This window comes from Homo sapiens, chromosome 4, assembly GCF_000001405.40.
Source record: "Homo sapiens chromosome 4, GRCh38.p14 Primary Assembly".
Lineage (NCBI taxonomy): Eukaryota > Metazoa > Chordata > Mammalia > Primates > Hominidae > Homo > Homo sapiens.
Window position 1 is genome coordinate 53,606,139 of NC_000004.12, and position 24,298 is coordinate 53,630,436.

Consider the following 24,298-nt stretch of genomic DNA (forward strand, 5'->3'; position numbering starts at 1 on the left):
CCAACACATCCAGAAGTTTCTTTTTTGAAAGATAGATAGACCACTAGGTAGACTAATAAAGAAAAAAAGGGAGAAGTTCCAAATAAACACAATCAGAAATGACAAAGGGGATATTATCACTGACCCCACAGAAATATAAAAAACCCTCAGAAATTATTATGAACACCTCTATGCACACAAGCTAGGAAACCTAGAGGAAATGGCTAGATCCCTGGAAACATACAACCTCCCAAGATTGAACCAAGAAGAAATTGAATCCCTGAGCAGACCAGTAATGAGTTCTGAAACTGAATCAGTAACAAAAAGCCTACCAACCAGAAAAAACAAACAAACAAACAAAAAACAAACAAAAAAAAAACAGAACAAGACAGATTCACAGCCAAATTCTACTGGATGTATAAAGAAGAGCTGGTACCACTCCTACTGAAACTATTCCAAAAAATTAAAGGAGGGACTCCCTAACTCATTCTATTTGGTATCATCCTGATATCAAAACCTGGCAGACATACAATAAAAAAAGAAAACTTCAGGCCAATATCTTTGATGAACATCAATGCAAAAATCCTCAATAAAATACTGGCAAACTGAATCTAGCAGCAGATCAAAAAGCTTATCTACCATGATCAAGTAGGCTTCATCCCTGGGATGCAAGGTTGCTTCAACATACACAAATCAATAAATGTAATTCATCACATAAACATAACTAAAGACAAAAACCCACATGATTATCTCAATAGGTGCAGAAAAGGCTTCTGATAAAATTCAACATCCCTTCATGTTAAAAACCCTCAACAAACTGGGCATTGAAGGAACATACTTCAAAATAATAATAGCCACCTATTACAAACCCACAGTCAACATCATACTGAATGGGCATAAACTGGAAGCATTCCGTTTGAAAACCTGCACAAGACAAGGATGCCTTCTCTCACCACTCCTATTCAACACAGTACTGGAAGTCCTGGCTAGAGCAGTCAGGCAAGAGAAAGAAAGTAAGGAAAGGCATCCAAATAGAAAGAGAGGAAGTCGAACTATCCCTGTTTGCAGATGATATGATTCTACACCTAGAAAATTCCATAGTCTTTGCCTAAAAGCTCACTGATCTGATAAACAACTTAGCAAAGTTTCAGGGTACAAAATCAATGTACAAAAATCACTAGCATTTTGTATACACCAATGACATCCAAGCTGAGAGCCAAATTGAGAATGCAATCTCATTCACGATGGTCACGAAAAGATAAAATACCTAGGAATATAGCTAACCAGGGAGGGGAACAATCTCTACAATGAGAATTACAAAACATTGCTCAAAGAAATCAGAGATGACGCAAACAAATGGAAAAGCATTCCATGTTCATAGATAGGAAGAATCAATATTGTTAAAATGGCCATACTGCCCAAAGCAGTTTACAGATTCAATGTTATTCCTATCAAACTACTAATGACATTCTTCACAGCATTAGAAAAAGCTAATGGTGATTTATTTTAAAATTCACAGGGAACTAAAAAAGAGCCCAAATAGCCAAGGCAATCCTAAGCAAAAAGAACAAAGCTGGAGGCATCATATTACCCAACTTCAAACTATAGTACAAGGCCATAATAGCCAAACAGCATGGTACTGGTACAAAAACAGACACATAGACCAACAGAACAGACAGCCCAGAAGTAATGTTGCACATTTAAAACCATCTGATCTTCAACAAAGTCAACAAAAACAAGCAATGGGGAAAGGACTCCCTATTCAAAAAATGGTGCTGGGATAACTGGCTAGCCAGATGCGGAAGATTGAAACAGTACCCATTTCTTACACCATATACAAAAATCAGCTCAAGATGAATTAAGAACTTAAATATAAAACCTAAAACTTTAAAAACCCTGGGAGAAAACCTAGGAAATGCCATTCTGGACACAGGGTATGGCAAAGATTTCATTAAGAAGATGCCATAAGCAATTGCAACAAAAACAAAAATTGACACATGGGACCTAGTTAAACTAATGAGCATCTACACAGCAAAAGAAGTGATCAACAGAGTAAACAGACAGCCTACAGTATGGGAGAAAATATTTGTAAACTGTGCATCCTACAAATGTCTAATATCCAGAATCTATGAGGAACTTTGACAAAACAACAAGTAAAAAACAACCACATTAAAAAGTAGGCAAAATAAATGAACATGCACTTTTTAAAAGAAGACATACAAGCAGTCAACAATCACATGAAAAATTGTTCAACATCACTGATTACAGAGAAATGCAAATCAAAGCCACAATGTGATACCATCTCACACCAGTCAGAATGGCTATTAGTAAAAAGTCAAAAATAGCAGAAGCTGGTAAGGTTGTGGAGAAAAGTAAACGCTTATACACTGCTGGTGGGAAGGTAAATTAGTTCAGCCACCGTGGAAAGCAGTGTGGAGATTTCTCACAGAATTCAAAGCAGGATTACCATTCGACCCAACAATCCCATTTTTGGGTATATACCAGAAGGAATATAAATTTTTCTACCACAAAGACATGCACATGTATGTTAATTGCAGCACTGTTCACAGTAGCAAAGACAAGGAAACAACCTAAATGCCCATCAACGGTAGAATGGATAAAAAAAATGTGGTGCATATTCACCACAGAATACTATGCAGCCATAAAAAGAATGAGATCATGTTCTTTGCAACAACATGGAGAGAGCTGGAGGCCATTATCCTAAGTGACTAATACAAGAACAGAAAACCAAATACCACACGTTCTCACTTATAAGTGGAAGCTAAATATTGAGTACGTGTGTACACAAAGAAGGGAACAACAGACATCAAGGCCTATGTGAGGGTGGAGAAAGGGAGGAGGGTGAGAATCAGAATACCCAACTTCAAACCATACTACAAGGCTACAATAACCAAAACAGCGTGGTACTGGTACAAAAACAGACACATAGACCAACAGAACAGAATAGAGAACCAGAAATAATGCTTCACTCCTACAACTATCTGATGCTCAACAAAGTTGACAAAAACAAGCAATGGGGAAAGGACTCCCGATGTTTATTACCTGGCTGGAAAAATCATCTGTATACAAAACCCCTGTGACATGCAATTTACCTATGTAACAAATATGCACATGTACCCCTGAACCTAAACTAAAAGTAAAAAAAAAAGGAAATCTAAAGAGAAAAAAGTGTTTAAGAACTATGTTTTAAAATATATCACTTTAAAAATTTAAAATTTAATTAAAAAGAAAATAGTACCAGAACAATATGTTTTAACCCATAAACCATTGCCAAAAACACCAAAAAACTAGTATTAGCTAAATATATCTCTTTGAACTGTATTGGAAAGTTCTGTAGAAAGAAAAAAGGAATTGACATATTTTTATTTATACGGAAATTTTATAGCATTTAAAATTCATAAATTTATAATTTATGTATAAATAATATATAAAATAATATATAGTATATATAATTATATATTATATGTTATACTATATGTTATAAATAGTATATATAATTATACTATTTATAATACTATTATAGTACTATTATACTATTATAGTACTATTATAATACTATTATAGTACTATTATAATATATAGTACAATATATAATATACTATTATATATTATATATAATATACTATTATATATTATATATAATATATTATTTAAATATAAAATATAAATAACATCAATATAAAATTTCTACATAATGCTATATAAATAAATCATGTAATTTAGATAGCATTATATATAACTATATAGCATATAATTTTTATTATAAATACTTTATGAATAGTAAATCATTTAATGCTCACAACCATGTGAGTTAGACACTGTTATTGTTCACATTTTATAAGTGTGCTCAAGGTGAAATGGTAAAGTCAAGATTTGAAAATGGACATTTTCTCTAAAGTCTTTACTTTTAACCTCTGTGTCACGCTGCTTCCCAACACAGTAAATAAATAAACCTCCATATTCCTGATCTAAAGTATTTTTATTGTTTTTCATATGTCCGCAGAACATTTATAGAGACTGATCAGGTACCTGACTACAAAGAAAACTTGAGCAAATTCAGAGTAATGATTTTATAGTTAACATTATCTGATCATAATTCAATAAATAAGAAAAAATTATCAAAAGGTAACAAAAAGTTGACTACTTGAAAATTTAAAAATACTTAGAAAATAATTGGTTCCAAAAGTTGAAAGGGAAATTATTGACCATCTTAAAAGCCATGAAAGGTCGAACTTTATAACATACTCTAGGATTCTGTGAAAACTATATATGAAAAATTTTGTAGTTAAAATGCTGCGGTGGCTCAAGCCTGTAATCCCAGCACTTTGGGAGGCCGAGGTGGGCGGATCACGAGGTCAGGAGATCGAGACCATCCTGGCTAACACGGTGAAACCCTGTCTCTACTAAAAATACAAAAAAATTAGCCGGGCGTGGTGGTGGGCACCTGTAGTCCCAGCTGCTCGCGAGGCTGAGGCAGGAGAATGGCGTGAACCCGGGAGGCAGAGCCTGCAGTGAGCCGAGATCGCACCACTGTACTCCAGCCTGGGCGACAGAGCAAGACTCCCGTCTCAAAGAGGAAAAAAAAAAAAAAAAAAGAAATAAACCAAATCTTCATTCTAAGAAATTAGAAGAAGAATAAAGAGAGATAAATAAAGGCAAAAGCTTAAATTACTGAAATAGAAGGCAAAATAAGTAATAGGATATATAAATAAATTTAAACTTGTTATATAAAAACATCTAAACTCTATACATGTCTATAACAAGTTTGATTTTTAAAAATGAGGAAATGCAAAATTATAAAAGATCAGAAAGCAGAAAGAAGACTATAGTGACTGAAAGTATTACAAGAGAATACGATATGAAACTTGATGGTAGCAAATTTTAAAACTGGAATAAACATTGGGGAAAAAAGAGGTAAAACTGTCTATTTTTGCAAATGATATGATTGTAAACCTAGAAAACCCAAAGGAATCTAATAAAAGTCTTCTAGAATTAAGAATAGAATTTGATAAAATAGGTGGATCTACAAACAGGCAAAAATACCATTAGCTTTTTTGTACTCTAGGAATAAGAAAAGGAATGAAAAAAAAAGTCTAAAATAGTGAAAAACCAACCTCTATGAAATACTTAGGATAACCAAAAAAGAAAATGCACAACAAAGTTATACTAAAATATGCAAAAGGAGAAATGAAGAAATGGAAAGATGTGCCATTTTCTTGGATAGGAAAATTCAATGCCATAAAGATATTAAATTCTACAAATTGATTATGTGTGTGGTGTGTTTTACTAAAAATCACAACAAAGTGGGTATTTCGGGTTTGTTTGTTGTTTTTGGTAATTGGATAAAGTGATCTTAAAGTTTCTAGAGAAAAATAAATATCAAAGAAAATACAAGTAATTTAGAAAAAATAAGTAGAGATGGAGTAAGGGACATCCTCGCTAGTTACTAGAACTGTCTATAAACCCATCGTATTAGGTTGGGGCAAAAGTAATTGTGGTTTTTACCACTAAAATTGCAAAACTGCAATTACTTTTGCACCAACCTAATCTTCAAATCAGTGTCCTACTGGATCTCAATTTTATTGCACACTCAAGGATACGCTACAAATATATGAATGAAAAATATAAAAGGTAAAGTAAACCAAAGCTCTTACCAAGAAATCTAGTGGATTATATGTACTGTTATATAATGGGGGTAGGACAAACCCTCCCAATAAAAACTGAGAAGCCAAAAGCTCTGAGAGTAAAGATAGCTGTATTTGACTGAAAACAGTATAACTTTTCAGGCAGAGATAATATAAAAATGCAGTAGACCATGGTAGATTTGAAGAAATCTATATAGTGTGAACACTAGTTATCATTTTTATAATATGCAAAGATTTGTTATGATTTGGCAAGAAAAACAAGAACAAACCAATAGGAAAATGGACAAAAGATATGAATGGGCAATATACAGAAAAGCACATACGAAGGGTTGAGAAACTCGGAAATATCCTCAAATTTACCAAAAGTGAGGGGAGTACAAATTGAACAAACAATAAGATATGACTTTATACCCACCAGATTGTCTAAAATTGTAAAGATTTGTAACACTTATTGCTGGCAGGTTAGTAGGTAAGGGAGAACTTTCATACAGCTTAGGTAGAATGGAAATACCTCTTGCAGGAGCAGCATGGCACTATCTATTACAATTTAAAATACAGACAGTCTTTAGGCCAGCAATTCCTTCCTCAGACTCTAATAGAAGCAAAGCCACCAGAATATAAAGATTCATACACAAGGTGTTTTAGCTTGCTTCCTTTACTTTGTTTTGTTTTTGCAAATTAGAAAAGCTAAGTGTTTTCTGTAATGGAGGATAGCTGAATAAATTATGGCATATCCATATGATGGAAAAATACAGTCATTAAGAATAAATTAACGCTTGTAATCCCAGCACTTTGGGAGGCTGAGGCAGGAGAATTGCTTGAGCCTAGGAGTTCAAAACTGGCCTGGGCAATATAGCGAGACCCTGTCTCTACAAAAAAATACAAAAATCAGCTGGGTATGGTATGCCAGCTAATTTTTGTATTTTTTTTTTTTGTAGAGATGGGGTCTCGCTATATTGGGTATGGCAGTGCTAGTCTGTACTCCTAGCTACTCAGGAGGCTGAGCTGGGAGGATTGCCTGAGTCCAGGAGTTTGAGGCTGCAGTGATCTGTGGTCGTATCACTGCACTCCAGCCTGGTTGACAGAGTGAGACCCCATTTCAAAAAAATAAAAAAGAAGAAATTAGTTGTGCTAGTTGACAGGAAGAATTTTAAAGGATATCGTTGAATGAGTAAAGCACAATGCAGTGAAAAGTATATGCTATGGTTTTATTTTTGTAAAACAAAAGCCCCTGTGTGTGTATGTGCATGTGTATGTCTACCTACGATTATATAGCCATGAGTAAAAATAGGAAAGACACATACTAGATTATTAATATGGGCTTTCTGGGTAAGTGGGTGGGTGGAGAATTTATATGTGTGGAAGAGAAGAGGAAGCACCAAGCCAAAAAAGGAAAAGGAATAAAAAGACCCCCTACACATAACTGTACACATGAACATATGTTTAAATTGATCCCATGCATGCATTTATGAAAATATATGAATGTGTGTTTCCATACATGAAGAAATCACCTTGCCAGTTTGAGGGTTTCTGTTTCACAGATAACCTCCTGCTTTCCAGGAATTTTTTTTTTTTAACTTTGAAGTTCAGGGGTACCTGTGCAGGATGTGCAGTTTCATTACATAGTAAACATGTGTCATGGGGTTTAGTTGTACAGATTATTTCAACACCCAGGTATTAAGCCTAGTATCCATATTTGTTATTTTTCCTGATCCTCTCCGTCCTCCACCCCCCACCGTCCAGTAAGCCCCAGTGTGCATTGTTCCAATGCGGTATTTGGTTTTCTGTTCCTGTGTTACCTTGCTAAGGATAATGGCCTCCAGCTCCACCCATATTCCCACAAAAGACATGATCTAATTCTTTTTCATGGCTGCATAGTATTCCATGGCATATATATGCCACATTTTCTTTATCCAGTCTATGATTGATGGGTATTTAGGTTGATTCCATGTCTTTGCTATTGTGAATAGCACTGCACTGAATATATGGGTGTATGTGTCTTTATAATAGAATGATTTATATTCCTTTGGGTATATACCCAGTAATGGGATTGCTGGGTTTAATGGTATTTCTGTCTCTAGGTCTTTGAGCAATCGCCACACTGTCTTCCACAATGGTTGAACTAATTTACATTCCCACCAATGGGGTGTAAAAGCATTCCTTTTTCTCCACAACCTCACCAGCATCTGTTATTTTTTGACGGCCCTTTTTTGATAATAGCCGTTCTGACTGGTGTGAGATGGTATCTTATTGTGGTTTTGATTTGCATTTCTCTAATGATCAGTGATGATGAGCTTCTTTTCATACGATTGTTGGCTGCATGCATGTCTTCTTTTGAGAAGTGTCTGTTCATGTCCTTTGCTCACTTTTTAATGGGGTTGTTTTATGTTTGTTGATTTAAGTCCATTGTAGATGCTTTTTCAGGAAAGTTTGCTGTTCCATTTGCCACCCTGTCCCTACATATTCTCCAGGAAAGAATTACTGACTCTGGGGCTTCCAGATTTACTTCCAGAACTACTGACTCTGGGGCTTATTCTAAGACTTCCCCTCCCATGACACACCATTTCATCTCACAAACAGCACTCAGAAAGCCTCCAAGATTCTTCTGGAAATGGATATCCCTTTGGGATCTCTACCTCTATCCCTTCTCATCCATACTTCCTTTAGTGAAGTGACCCCCACACTAACCTTTCTAGGCAAAGCAAATTGGCCTGTTAGGCAGATTTTCTAGGGGTGTCAGGTTCCTCTGCACCCACACTAGAAAAGCCAGAAGGTGAAGAGTTCCATCACAGGTACCCAGGAAAATGACCAATTGCTCTTAAGGTCATAGGTCTTAGAATTTTAGACTTGCCTAAGTTGTGAAATTCTTTAGGGTCTAATAAAAGTAATAAGCAGCCAAGAATGCTAATTTGAGATACCTTTGGTCAGCCTACGCTGTTTATGGCTCACGAGTTCATCTCCTCCTTGATGTCAACTGAATGCTTGCTAGTTTTACATTCCATGCTCACATCTGTCTGCTTCCTTCAGCCTCCTGGTCATGGAGCAATTTCCTTCACTTCAAAGGAGGCTCCAGGTGCAGGGAGGACTCCAGAGGTGTGGCCTGACCTCAGAATCTGGCTCCCTTTTATTTTACTAAAACATGTATTCTCTTCATCTTATCCCAAGTTGACTTTTGGAGCTATTCCGAAATTTGTTCATCTTTGAACACCGAGAATGAGAATAAAATATATTTTTCCTTTTCCTTCAAAACATTGACCCTAGTTTTGTCATGATGCTTCAAATGAATTAATTGCTGAAAGAAACAGTAGAGATAATTACACATGCCCCACAGGAGAAAAATGCCACGATTGAAACAGTAGAAAACAGGCTGTGGGAGATTTAGTGTAATAATGGCCTCTGATAAATCATGGAGAAGCAAGAAGTCGTTGTTGTAAGCCATTCGCTTTTAGGGTGGTTTCTTATGCAGCAGTAGTTGGCGAATGCTGTGTGTAACTCCTTCAGCAAGGTGAGGCTGCTTCTCCCAACAGGAGGCAGGGAGTATTTCTTACTCCCGTGAATCTACCTGGGCTGGCTTTGGGGCACTGTGGGGGTTCCAGAGCCTAGGTATTCAAGAGGCTTCGCAGCTTCCACCCTTGCCCTCTTGGAAGCTTGAAACTGCCATGCTGTAGAGAAGCTTAGCCTAGCTCCCTCGTGTATGAGAGGCTTAAGGAAGAAGACTGAGGCTCTAGCCAATCGCCAGAGCCAACTCCCAGACATGAGTGAGGCAATTCTGTACATTCTAGCTAAAGGCAGCTGAATGAAAACCCATAGAGGAAGAGCTTAGCCAACCCACAGAATTGTGAACAATAATAAAGGTTGTTGTTTTAAGGTATTGAGTTTTGAAGTGGTTGGTAATACAACCATGCCTTATTAATACAGAGCCTTGGATTTTTTTTTACTACCTTAACATAAAATTATTTATTCATTTATTTTTAGATTTAAAAAATTTTTAGTGGGCATATAGTAGGTGCATATATTTATGGGGTACATGAGATGTTTTGATACAGGCATGCAATGCGTAATAATCTTATCATGGAGAATGGGGTATCCATCCCCTCAAGCATTTATCCTTTTTATTATAAACAATCCAATCATACTATTCTAGTTATTTTAAAATGTACAATTATTATTGACTACAGTCACCCTGTTGTGCTATCAAATAGCAGGTCTTACTAATTCTTTCTAACTATTTTTTGTATTCATTTGCCCTCCCTGCTCCTCACCACCCCCGTCCTTCCAAGACTCTTGTAACCATCCTTCTGCTCTCTGTGTTCATGAGTTCAATTGTTTTGATTTTTAGATCCCACAAATAAGTGAGAACATGTGATGTTTGCGTTTCTGTGGGCTTGGATATTTTAATTCAGTATCTATCTTTTTTCTAGTTTTCTATATATATTGAGACATCTTTTTTACTTTTTTTCTTAGAAACCTAGATAGACACCTTCCCTACATAGACACAAATAACTCCTATATACCATACACTTAAAAGCTCATAGGAGACAAAAGTGCAAAGGCAGGCACTGCATCTAATTTCTACTCTTCAGTGTCCTGCGCCTGGGTCAGCAGCACATGATTGGTGGGAAGTCAGCATATGTTGACCAGATTATCTCATGTGACACCTGCTGCTGCTTTTATCTCATTTTCTTAGTACTTGGATTTGTCACAGAATGAATGGTCTGATTCATTTGGCCTACCTGGGCAGCTTTGCTTGTGTCCCCTTGTTCTCTCACTTTTCCACGTAGATAGTTTTCAAGGGTCCCAGCCTGGAGGAAGAGAATATCTTTCCAGTTGTTGGTGGACTGAGCTTATTGGTCAAGAGTGTTGTAGTTGTAGTAATAATAGTAGTAACAGCAGCAGCAGTAGCAGCAGCTAATATTTATTGAAACCTTATCAATATGCCATTCACTTTAATTAATTGGTTAATTTAGTTAATTAGTTATTTTGATTTCCATAAAGGAAATGGAGGCAACGATGGGTTACTTGATTCTCCCAAGATAACATAGGTAAATGGCAGAGTCTCATCTTTTAGCAAACACCCTGGCTTGAAATGTAGCTAGCTGTGTGGTTACTGATGTTTAAACTAAGAAGTATTAAGCATAGTCATTTATAAAAGTTCCCTGACTATAAATCACCCATAAGCTACAATCGTCAAAGCTTTTAAATATCATTTGTACTTCTCATTAGCCAAGAAACAAGTATTACTGAGTGTGTCATATAAGTCTGTGCTTGTGCCAGTTACTATAGAAAGTTATAAAACATATAAACTATAATACAAAAGCAGCATATAAGAATCTTGGCTCTAAAGGGACTTACACTATTTTGAAGAGACCAGACTTACACAGTAAAATGACCAAAAAATAAGACCTAGTACCTAGTCTAATAATAATAATTAAAAAAAGAGAGCAAAGGAGTTTTGAGACCTCACCTTTTGCAGGGAAGAATCTGAGTCATATTTCAAATCTCCTTTTCTTCTTCTCAGGGCAAAACCACAGCTTTCATTTTTGAAGGTCACAGCAGTAAAAGATGGTTCAATAGGCCAGACTAACCTGTGTTAGCAACTAGGATAATATCCAGAAAAGAAAATTTACTTTGGGATTTAAGATGATCAAAACTGATTACTTCTCAAGAGGCTTAGAAACCCAAAGCTGTAAACACAGCTGGGGAAACACTTGAATGTGCAGCCATAAAAACTCCAGTGAATAATCCATCCTTCTGCTTCATGACATGGATACTACACCACATACATGAATCTATAGGAAAGCAGTAAATATTTTTATACAACCTTGTTGGTGAAGAGGAAAGAAAAATGTGTAGAAACATGCCCACCCACATCATCTATGTGTGCACTGTAAATGTCTCTCTTGTTTTGTTGAAGTTAAGGCAAAAGGATTACATTCAGTCCAGCCACTAAATTGTAATACAGAGATGTTATTGACTAAACCTGTAACAACTGGGTTTGTCTTCTCAAGATTTAGAGAACCAATAGAATTATTTCTGATTGGATGATAAGTAAATGCTCTATTATTTGTTAACCAATAGTCAATGACAGAAATTGAGCCAGTTTTCTCCATATAGAAAATTTTTGACTTATCAAGACCTCTTTTTTCCCTGGAAAGATAGATATCTATATATTAACAATTATTTTCTCTAGTAGTGTGGTTAGGTGTTTGATTATTTATTTTTCTTATTGGTGTTTTTGAAATTTTTCAAAATAACATCTATAGTTTTTATAATCAAAAGATACTGTGATTTTTAAAAGTGAACAACTTAGCTTCTTACTGATAGACAGTCTTACACCATTTAAACAAATTGCCCTTAACTACTTTGCCTACCAAATAAATCCTTATCTTTGGTTTATTTTAAAGGAATTTTTCCTTTCAGCAGAGTTTTATGATCAGCTTTCACTGATATCTAGAAATACATGTCAAGGTTAAGAATGTTATGATGCAGGACTTGAGCCTTGGGAAAAGAGTATTCTAAAGAGGACAAAAATTATGCCTTAAAAATTCCTTTTTCAGATGACTTGCTGTGTAGTCCATTAGGCAGAGACACAAAAAGTACTTTCTAAAATAATAATGGCCCAGAACCTTGCTCTTTGAGATAACAAAGCTCTGTTTTTGCAGGTGGCTTTCTACTCAAAGAACAAAAACTGGAAATATCCATTGAATTGGCCTGTTTACTTGTGCTGAGTCTTGCTAATAGAACAGAGCTAATCAAGCCCTGGGTACAGAGCCCTGTATGTAAAGGAAAACACCCATCTCACTAACCCTCGGATGTGCACACTTTTCATGTTCTTTACAAAGACACTCACCCTGTTGGGGAGGGCCTTGAAGGCAGTGCTGGCCAATAGGATGACAATGCAAGCCACATACAGAGGTTTAAATTTTCCAGTAGCCACATTTGAAAAGCAAAAATCAACAAATCAGTTCATTTTAATACTGTATTTTAGCTAACTAAATATATCTAAAATACTGTCATTTCAATATTAAACATGTATTCACATATTTATGTCCCTTTTAAAAAAAATTTGGTCTGATTTCCAGGGTGTGTTTTACCTGCACAGCACAGCTCCTTTTGTTTTTTTTATATGTATACATATTTTTTATTTTTGTAGATACAGGGTCTTGCTATGTTACGCAGGGTGGTCTCTAACTCCTGGGCTCAAGTGATCCTCCTGCCTCAGCTCCCAAAGTGCTGGGATTACAGGTGTGAGCCACTGCACTCGACCTCACTTTAGTCACATTTCAAGAGCTCAAGAGCCACATGTGGCTAGTGGCTACCTTATCAGATAGTGTAACTCTAAAATGAAAATGTTAGCACCACCAAATAACATTAGATGGCCTTAATTTTTTTTACATTGAGATATAATTTATGTACTGTAAAATTCATGCTTTAAAACGTACACTTTAGTGGTTTTTAGTTTATTCACAAGACTATACTAAAATATATACAAACACTATTTCATTTCAGAACACTTTCATTATCCCCCAAAGAAATCCCATACCTTTATCAGTCATACCCCATTCCCTCATTCCCTTCTTTTCCCAGCCCTGGCAATCACTAACCTGATTTCTGTTTTGTGAATTTGCCTATTTTGGACATTTCATATAAATGGAATCATGCAATATGTGGCCTTTGTGTCAGACTTCTTTCTTAGCATCATATTTTCAAGTTTCATGCGTGTTGGGTCATGCTTATCCATGTTAGAGAAAAAAGTACTGCCTTCCTTTTTATGGTTGAGTGACAGTCCATTGTAAGGGTATACAGCACATGTTGTTTAGCTGTTCATCACTTGATGAGCCTTTGGGTTCTCTCCAATTTTTGGCTACTATGAACAATGCTTCTGATATTCATGTGAAAGTTTTCACAAGAACCAATGTTTTCAATTCTACTGGACATAAACTTAGGAGTGAATGTGCTGGGTTACATGGTAATTCTATGTTTAATTTTTCGATGAACTGTCAAACTGTTTTTCCAAAGTGGTTGCACCGTTTTACACACCCAGCAGCAATGCATGAAGTTTCTGTTTTCTCCACATCCTTGCCAGTGCTTGTTATTATGTCTCTTTTTAATTATAACCATCCCAGTGGGTGTGGCAAGTCAGCTGGTGTTCTTACTAATTAAGAACAAATAAAAACTGTGATTACAAAAATGCAACAGCAGTTTTAATATTCTTATAGATTTAAAAGATTAAGGGTTAAACTCACATTTGCCTGGTCTGTTTGTAACGAAACACATTGTGGCTTTTGTTAAACAACTGTTTTATCCTGTCTGTGCCAGCAGCAAGTGAGGTGAGTTCCTTTACTACAAATAATTAATATTAATTTGCAGTTACTGGGTGTTTTATCTATCTGTCATCTGTCTATTTATCTATCTACCTATCTATCTATCTACTCTCAAAATGTGGTCACCACACCTGCAGAGTTTGCATTTCTGATATGTTCACAGGTTACAATTTTGCATTATATAATTTTGCATTATAACCTGTGAACATATTATAAATGCAAACTCTCAAGCCCTGACCCAGATGTAGTGAATTACAAATGCTGGGAGTGGGATCCACCAATCTGTGTTTTAGCAAGCCCTGCAGGGGATTCTAATGCAGGCTAACATTTGAGAACCACTAATCTAGAGCAAACATATAATGTGACCAAAGTTTATGGAAAAAACTATGGGTCAGACACAGTGTTAGGTGTTGGGTGCATTCGGGTTGAGGATTCAAAACTAAAAGACATGACTGAAGACTGTGGACCAGAAGCAGTTGCTTGATGGGTACAACGTGCATTGCTCCACTGATGGATGCACTGAAGTCCCGGATTTCACCATAATGCAATACATCAGTGTAGCAGAATTGCACTTGTACCCCATGAATATATAAAAATAAAAATAATAAGAAAAGAAAAATTATATTAAATGTATGAAGGAAAAAAAAGACATTTCTTTCCTCCCAGTGCTTAGAGTCCAGTGCATTTGATGAGTGGGTGAATCAGTGTTAGCTCACAGTGCAGCACGCTCTAAATCAAGGTATGCATGTGTTCGCCACTCAGGGAAGGATGAGAAAGCTTCCCTGCAAAAATGACTTTTGAGCTTCCAATAAACTTAGAAAGCCAATATCGGTTTAAAGAAATTCAATTATAGTTGTTACTCCTGTTAGTTTCAAAGAGAATCCCAATATGATAGCATGGCTTTCAAACATTTTATTAACTGGCTTTTGCTGAGGTTCCCACCTTCACCTCCCAGGGAGCATTACTCAGAGTGTGGTGCACAGGGCACGGTGACATCACCTGGGAGCTTGTTAGTGCAGCAGAATTTCAGAGGTCACTCCTGACCTATGGCATCCACATTTCACCAAGATCCCCAGGTGACTTGTATGCATATTCAAGTTTCAGAAGACCTCCCCTAGCTGCAGTGAAGGAATTGCAGTTCTCTAAGTCAAATTATATTCCCTGTGCAGTGCCCTCTGCCTGGGATGCCCTCTGGGACCCCAGAGAAGTTGGATGTCCCTTTTCGGCATCACGCTCACTGTGGGGTTCTAGTTGCCTGTGCATCTTCAGTACTAGAAAGTGAGCATCTCCAGGACAGGGAGACTGTTTTATTTTTCTCTGTAATTTGCAGGATTCAAAACCTACTTGCTGCCTTGCATATAATGGGTGCTCGGTCAATGTTCATTTAATGAAACAATGGATGGATGAATGAGATGTGCCAAATACCCAGTGTGGACACTGCCTCTGCAGTGAATTGTACCTAAGGATTTACAGTCCACTCTGTCGCACTCATATAACTCCAGTCAGTTGTCTGGTTTGCTAGAGTTAGACAGAATCAGACAATCAGACAGAAATTTAAGGTATGAAGAGACTGGGAAGTGGCTATGGGTCAAAATCTAGTTTCTACTTTTGAAACGTTTATATTATGGTTTCTCATTATGTTTTGGCTTCTCAGACCCCACCTCAAATGATAGAGGCAGGGACATGAAATGGGCACCGATTTGAGAGTTGGATTCTAAGTCTGGTGCCAGCCAGTGGTAAATTGCTTTGGACCTTTCATTTCACCCCCACCGGATTTGTTGCCTCATTAATAAGTGAAGAAGTTGTAATAGGCAATCCTGTAGGTCTCCCCCACTACCCACCCCACCACCTGCCAATAGGTTTTTTTAAGCACAAACAATTCTCATATACATTGGTGCAGAGGCCCCTTTGGAAATTAAGGTTTTATTTAAAAAGGACTTTGAAGGTTAATAAGCAATTTTCTTGACATTTTTTATAGGCAAGTTACACTAAGTTATATGCTTCTCTTATTTCCCTAGATATTTTTAAAAACATGATTTATCATATATTTAGTGTTTCCTAAGAAGGAAACTGTTGAATGGAATCTGCTTTGGAAAGATGTACGTATGTCATATGCCAGGAAAAGTGGATTTTGATTAAGAAATTTGGCATTTGCAATAAATCCAACTTTGTTCTGAGTGATTAAGTTCTTTAGAAAACCTATTGACTTTTCAAAGTGCGTGGATTAGAAATACTGACAATTTTCAAACCACTAGCCTTGCATTTTAATGTCCCGGTGTCGCAGGAGTGAACAGTAAACCTCTGTTGCCACACACTGGGCCACTCAGCACACATGAAGTGTGTCAACCTGATTGGCGTGGCGAGACCACAGCTCCCCTTGTTCCCTCCCTCACTCTCTCACCCCAGGGCTAGCAATGGACCATTATCTCCAATTTTGACATCTGAAGAGAAAATCTGGATGCCAGGAAGGAAGTTTTTCCAAATTGGTATAAAAAACGCCAAATCCTCTTATTACAACAGGATACAGTAAATATAACAAAGGAGGAAGTTCATGAGATTGAAAAGGTTTAAAAGTGTAAATGAAAAATACTTCTGAGAAAAACAAGATAGCCCTAACACAGTGCAGTTGCTTGTGTTTATTGGGAAAACACTCACTGCTGGAAAGATGAGAATAAGAGAGGGAGGCTGACCCATGTGTTACCAGAAAGATTGCACATCATTGTCTGCCACAGGACTTGGAAATCTGACCTATGTAACTGGAAGCCAATAGCATTTTCTTTCACAATATTATTTCTCTTAGAAGTAAAATATTATTCTTCTGGAGGAGAGTTTTAATGAGTGAATACAGTTGCACAAGAAAGGTGGAAACAGTTTGTCTTTTACATTAGCCAGAGATTAGGGAAAATGAGTCATAAAGAGCTTTAATAACTTAACTTAGCTTGGGGCTGGAAGAGATTTCAAAATGGTGGGCTGATGTCATCACTCAGGATTCATGATCCTGGACTGATCACTTGAATACATTGCACGGCTGGACTATATGTGGGCTAACATCTTCTTAGTTGTACCTGAGGATGAGAGCGTTTGCGTTGAGAGCAATTCTTTTTTTTTTTTTTTAGGATGGAGTCTCACTCTGTCGCCCAGGCTGGAGTACAGTGGCATGATCTTGGCTCACTGCAACCTCCTCCTCCCAGGCTCAAGTGATCCTCCCACCTCAGTTTACCAAGTAGCTGGGACCCACCTCAGCTTCCCAAGTAGCTGGGACCACAGGTGGATGCTACCATGCCTGGCTAATTTTTTTGTATTTTTTGGTAGAGACAGGATTTCACCATGTTGCCAGGCTGGTCTTGAACACATGAGCTCAGGTGATCCACCTGCCTTGGCCTCTCAAAGTGTTGGGATTACAGGTGTGAGCCACCATGCCTGGACTCAAGAACAATTCTGATGCAAACCATAAGTTCTTCACAGATTTTTGTTAAGAGTATTGTGATTTAGTGGTAGCAAGAGTGTTATGATGGTATAAAATGTAATTTTAGCCAATCAAATTCTCAATTTGAAGTTATATGGCTATGTTTTATTTTTGTTAAAACCACCGAGAATTTATAACTATCAAGAGATTTATATGTAGTCCTCATATAACCCTCACACTAGCAACTTGATTAGGTAGGTCTATTATTGCTGCTATTTTATAGAAGAGGAAATTGAAGCCTAGAACAATTAAATAGCTTGCCCAAGGTTGCACAGTAAATGAGTAGCAAAGCTGGAAGTTAAACCCAGGTCTGTCTGCACCTGAGCTCAAGTTCTAGGTTTCGAACCTCTTTTAGCTTGAATACAAACTTGCATCAAAAGATCTGTATAAGGGTAGTTATTCCTCAAAAGAATATAGGTTTTTGTGATGCTGGGTTTTCATGTAACCCAAGCTCTTAACTCCATCCTTTTGCTTGCCTCTCAGAGCTGGGCCCTCCATGACTCCTTTTCTTGAGCTCTTTCCGTCTGTCCTCCTTACTTGTTTCCTCTACTCATCACCTACATGCATAGGCTTTCTTTATTTAGAGTAACTCTTTACATGACTCTTTTATACCTTTCCAATCATTAGCCTATTTCTCTCTTATGTGATTTGGCTGTGTCCCCACCCAAATCTCACCTTGAATTGCAGCTCCCATAATTCCCACATGTAGTGGAAGGGATCTGGTGGGAGATAATTGGATCATGGGGGCAATTTCCCCCATACTGTTCTAGTGGTTGTGAAAAAGTCTCATGAGATCTGATGGTTTTATAAGGGGAAACCCCTTTCACTTGGTTCTTATCCTCTCTCTTGCCTGCCACCATGTAAGACATGTCTTTCGCCATCTGCCATGATTGTGAGTCCTCCCCAGCCACATGCAACTGTGAGTCCATTAAACCTCTTTTTCTTTATAAATTACCCAGTCTCAGGTGTGTCTTTATCAGCAGCATGAAAATGGACTAATACATCTCCTTTTCACAAAAAATAGTCTCTTTGGTGCAACTTCATGGCCCTCACTGCCTACCCTCCCACCATGCTGAAATTATGCTCTCCTAGGGTTCTCAGAATCTACAACCACCAAACCCAAGGCCTTTCCCTGGGGGTCTTTCACCTTGACCTTTCTGCAGCATTTGGTCCTGCAGGCCATCTACCTCCTGGAGCACTGCACGTGCACAGTAGGCACACAAAAATTTATTCAATGATTAATTAACTAAAATATCCAAACATTTTCTGGATTCTTCAATAGAATGTATTTATTTAAGATTCCAGAATTTTTTTACATGTAAGCATCCTCATACATTTTAAAAGAATTCATTAGAAAATGATTTCAGTTAAGGAAATGCTCAACATTGCAACAATAATCCTCTTTTACAGAGTAAAGAATAAATTCAATTGTTTTAAAAAGATTTATATATTTGTGATAGATATTTTTAAAACTTGTAGGCACATTGTACATACAGATTAACTTGAAAGGGATCATTGACCTAAATGTAAGAGCAAAAGCTGTGAAACTCTTGGGAAAAAACATAAGAGTAAATCTTTGTGACCTTGGATTAGGCAACGGTTTCTCAGCTATGACACGAAAAGCACAAACAGAAGAAAAAATAAATTGGTTTTCATCACAATTAAATATTTTTGAGCCTCCAAGGACACTATCAATAAAATAAAAAGACAAACCATGGAATGTGAGAACATATTTGCAAATCAATATCAGATGAGGGACTTATGTTCACAATATATACAGAACTCTTGTAACTCAACAATAAAAAGACAAGCCAGTTAAAAAATAAGCAAAGGATTTGAATAGATATTAATCCAAAGAAAGTGCACAAAGGGTCAATAAGCACATGAAAAGATGTTCAACATCATTAATAATTTGGGAAATGTAGATTAAAACCTAAATGAGGCTAGGTGTGGTGGCTCACACCTGTAATCCCAGCACTTTGGGAGGCCAAAGCAGAAGGATTGCTTGGGCCCAGGAATTTGACACCAAACTGGGCAACATAGTGACACCCTGTCTCTACAAAATAAAAAAATAAAAAATAAAAATAGCTGGGTGTGATGGCATGCACTTGTGGTCCCAGAAACTTGGGAGGCTGAGGCTGGAGGATTGCTTGAGCATGAGAGGTTGAGGCTGTAGTAAGCCACGACTGCATCACTGCACTCCAGCCTAGGTAACAGAGCAAGGTCCTGTCTCAAAATGTTAGTTACCATATGACCCAGCAATTCCACCCCGTGTGTGTGTGTGTGTGTGTGTGTGTGTGTGTGTGTGTATCCAAGAAAACTGAAAATACATGTCTACACATGTGTACACAAGATGTGTACACAAACATTCATAGCAACATTCTTCACAATAGGCAAGAAATGGAAATAGCCCAAATTTCCACCAACTGGTGAATGAATAAATAAAATGTTGAATATTCATGTAACAGAATGTTATTCACCAATAAAAAGGAATGAATATTGACATATGTTGCGACATGGATGAACCTGGAGACTATTATGCTAAGTGAAAGAAGTCTGACACAAAAGGCCACATGTCACATGATTCCATTTAAAAGAAATGTCCAGAATAGGAAAATCTATGCAGATAGAAAATATGTTCGTTTTCAAGGACTGAGCAGAGGTGGGGTGGGAATAGAAAAAGATCACAAATTGGTCCAGAGTTTCTTTTTGGGGTCATAAAAATGTTCTGAAATTTAATGGTGGTGATGGTTGCATAACCCTCATATAATAAATATACTACAAAACAATGAATTGTACACTTTAAAAGGGTAAATTTTAGGTATGTGAATTATAACTCAATAAAGCTCTTTTAAAAAGTAGAAATTAGCTCTCTGCAACCTAGTGTTCATTTCCTCATTTGTTCATTTACCAAGTCTTTGTTGAGCATGCATTGAGCAAGGGACTATGCTAGTGTTAGGCATAACAGCATTTTGAAAAGATCACCTGGCTTCAGTGTAGAGAACAGCTTAGCAGGGCATCAGAAGCCTTATGAATGCTGACAAAATTGGGAGCTAGCCAATACAGAAAGTTACATCTCTTCTCATTCAAAAGTTATTTCTTTACGTTGCTCTTTTTGCCATAAATAGGCAAACCAAAAAAAAGAAGGAAATGAGCTCTTCTTCAGCTCTTTTGTGATCCAAGGAAAGCTCCAGGGTTTCTTAAGGGTTTCAGAAAAGAGCTTATAATCATAAAAACCAAATTCTTGAGTATTAAGTTTACTTTTGAAATCTAATAAAAACCACACCATGCACCCATCTGTGCCAACAGTCTGAAATGGAAATTGAAGCTAGAAGCATTGCTGTTTAGCCTGGGAAGCCTGGGAAGACTGAACCTTTACTCATCATACACCTTTGACAAAATGTATTATAAAGATTGGCCGGGGATCCCAGTTTGGTTTGGTTGGACAGGAGTGGGGTGTGGGAGCACTGCACGCTTCTGCAGGAGTTCCTCTTGTCCTCTGCAGCTTCCTTTGCCCCAGGTACACTTACTGGGTTTTCACAGAACATTTCAAGCTTTGTAGCCAGCCTTGGTCTCACAGGATAATGGTGGTTTCAGGGAGAAGGAAAGCGTAGCTGGCTTAATGAGTCTTCCCTAGATTGTATGATGGGAACAGAGTTTAGAGTTTTTGATGACCTTGGAGGTTCCCTGTTCACTTAATCTCTTTTCACGGCCTTTGAAGGTACAGGGTGGTCCTCAGTATGTGTTTATCTTCCTTCCCAATGTAAACTACTCATTAACATTTGTAAGAAAAGCGCAGTCAAGTGTTGGTAAACTGATTCTAACAGGGTTGAGCAATCTTGAAAGTTTAATTCCCTTCCAAATAACTTGGGTTGACTCTCACATTATTTCAATGAGAATTCCTACTAATGGTGAGCTCTTATGTTGAAAGTAACTCAACCACAGATCAACAAAACAAGATTTTCTGCTCTGAATTGATGCCCCCTAACTCTAATAAAGTGAATCCTGTCAAATGAAAGAAAAGAAAATTCAAATTAGAAAAATAATTTTTAAATAAATGCACAGAGGTGAGTAATTTTTCTCCTTTGCATGTGCTTAGAGATAGGCCAGTCTTGAGTCAGCACACCTCTGAGGATGGATGCCATATCTGTTCAGATTTAACTAACACAGCACATTGAATCAGCACCTGCTAACCCTCTATTGACTTTACTGCTCCTAAAAGACGGTCTAGAAGTGCTTGAGTTAGAGCAGAAACCCTCCTCATTAGCCAGTTCTCCTTCTGCATGCCCCTTTGGGAGATTTGAAGATGAGGGTTTCAATGGGATGAATGTTAAGCTCTGGGTCAAGTGGGCCCTGGATTTACATCATTCTGACTTCACAAGTCTCTGAGGAAAAAAGTGCATTTAGGAAAGAACCAAAGGAGGAAATCATGGATATCGGTTTACAACACTCCAACTTGAAGGCATTTTTCTTTAGTGCCTCTTCAAATTTTCAAGTGGGAGTGAAAATTAAATCCACTAAACACCAAATCATCTGGAGAATTTCTACTGGGCAGAGTTTTGCAGCAGACATTTGGTTGGAAGGGTAGAGGCAGGTAAGACTCTTCTTGAAAATAATCATCAGGAGAAACAGACAACCCACAGAATAGGAGAAAATATATGCAAACTATGCATCCAACAAAGTATTAGTATTCAGAATCTACAAGGAACTTAAACATATTAGCAATACAAAACAATCCCATCAAAAAGTAGGCAAATGGCATGAATAGACATTTCTCAAAAAAAGTTATACAAATAGCCAAGAAACATGGAAAAATGTTCAACATCACTAATCATCAGAGAAATGCAAATTAAAACCATGATGAGACACCATATTACTCCTGCAAGAATGACCATTATTAAGAGGTCAAAAAAACAGTAGAAGCATTGTGGATGTGACAAAAGGGGAATGCTGGCTGGAATGTAAAGCACAACCTCTATAGAAAACAGTATGGTGATTCCTTAAATAACAAAAAGTAGATCTACCATTTGACGCAGCAGTCCCACTGTTGGGTACCTACCCAAAGGAAAAGAAGTCATTATGTGAAAAAGACACATGCACTTGTATGTTTACAGCAGCACAATTCACAATTGCAGAGATATGGAACCAACCTAAGTGCCCATTGACCAATGAGTGGATTTAAAAACCGTGGTACAAGTATACCCTGAAATACTACTCAGCCATAAAAAGAAATGAAATAATGTCTTTTACAATGACTTGGACGAAGCAGGAGGCCATTTTTCTAAGTAAAGTAACTCAGGAATGGAAAACCAGATACTGCATGTTCTCACTTATAAGTTGGAGCTAAGCTATGGATACACAAGGGCATACAGAGCGAGATAATGGACTATGGAGGCTCAGAAGGGAAAGGGTGAGAGGTGGATATGAGATTCAAAACTACACATTAGGTACAATATACACTACCTGGGTGATGGGTGCACTAAAATATCAGAATTTATCACTACATAATTAATCCATGTAACCATAAACCACTTGTACCCCCAAAGCTATTGAAATAAATGTGAAAAACAGACCACAAACAAAAAGTCTCTTCTTGAGACACTGTCCACGGCAAATATACAGGTTTAGAATGTTTGTCTGGATTGATTAGGGGGCTACCGAAATAGAGGGGTGGCTAAAGGTCCCTCCTCCCTGTCTCCAGCCACCCCTGGGTGCATCCAGGAACTGGAAACTGTCCCCAGCAGAAACCAGAATAATGGCTGCAAGGCCCCAACCACCAAGAAACAGACCAGGTTTAGGCTGACTCTGGCAAAGAGGCAGACTTGCAGTGCTAAGAGCTCACCCTGGATCTTTCTGTCCTTGCTTTGGCCCATTCTTTTCAAAATGTCCCAGGCCCTGCCAAAGCTTGGGTTCATCCCAGGACCTGGAGAGAAAGTATGTTGTAAAAGATGCAGTCTGCCTTCCAAATGGCTTGTCTGCACCACAAACTGCAGCCCTGCCCAAAGCTGCTCGAAACCAGTGGCAAAGCCATTTGGCCATGGATGAAGCAACAGAGTTGAATGGGAGGTAAGGGACAGGCTCAGACCTGGAGGATGGGAAAAAAGACACTCCTGCTCTGTGTTTGTTCAATTTTTAGGGTAATCAGAGGTGGTAGGGTGGATGGACTGCAGCTCTTCCCAGCTGATGTCACCTGGAAAATGTGGAGGCCAACACCCCTGACTTGGATAGAGCCCTTCTGTTTGGTTTTATTTTTAAAAAATATTGCAGGTACGCCTTGGTTTGATTTTTAAAATGAGTGATGCTGCTTTATCCTCTATATGTATGCACAATAAAGACAACAATACATCAATTCTTCTCATTCCTCCAAAACACTGTTCCATTGAAAAGCCAAAATCTCCACCTTGTACCTATACTAATATTTTCTACTAAGTTTTACTGGTCCAGCAAAAAAGAAGACACTTAATCATGTTGAAAACATGAGTATTTTCCCATGAAAATAGTTTCTTCATTAAAAAAAGGTGGGGGGGGCATGCGGGTGGGAATAACAACCATGTAAGTTTTCCCTTTACCCTGTGCTAGAGAGTATTCCAGGAGCTCCTGCTTAAAACAGGGACTTTCAAATTAACAGCAAGTCATTAAAATGTTTTGTTACTCAGAATTGGGTATTTATACAGTCGAGCCTATTATTTGTGGATTTCATAGTTATGAATTTAGCTACTTGCTAAAATTTTTTTGTAACCCCCAGATCAGGATTCACGGTGTTTTCACAGTCATTTGTGGACATACTCAGAGCAGCAAAAATTGGAGTGAAAGGACACACACATTACCAGCAGAGTTCAGACAAGGTGACCTTCTTGTTTCAG

The 24,298-nt window shown here is 37.5% G+C and overlaps 1 protein-coding gene across 1 annotated transcript in view; it reads right to left on the bottom strand.

The window, feature by feature from the left end:
* Positions 1 to 24,298, bottom strand: part of LNX1 (ligand of numb-protein X 1) — a 193,177-nt gene that overhangs the window by 146,838 nt on the left and 22,041 nt on the right. The gene's annotated exons all lie outside the window — the stretch shown is intronic.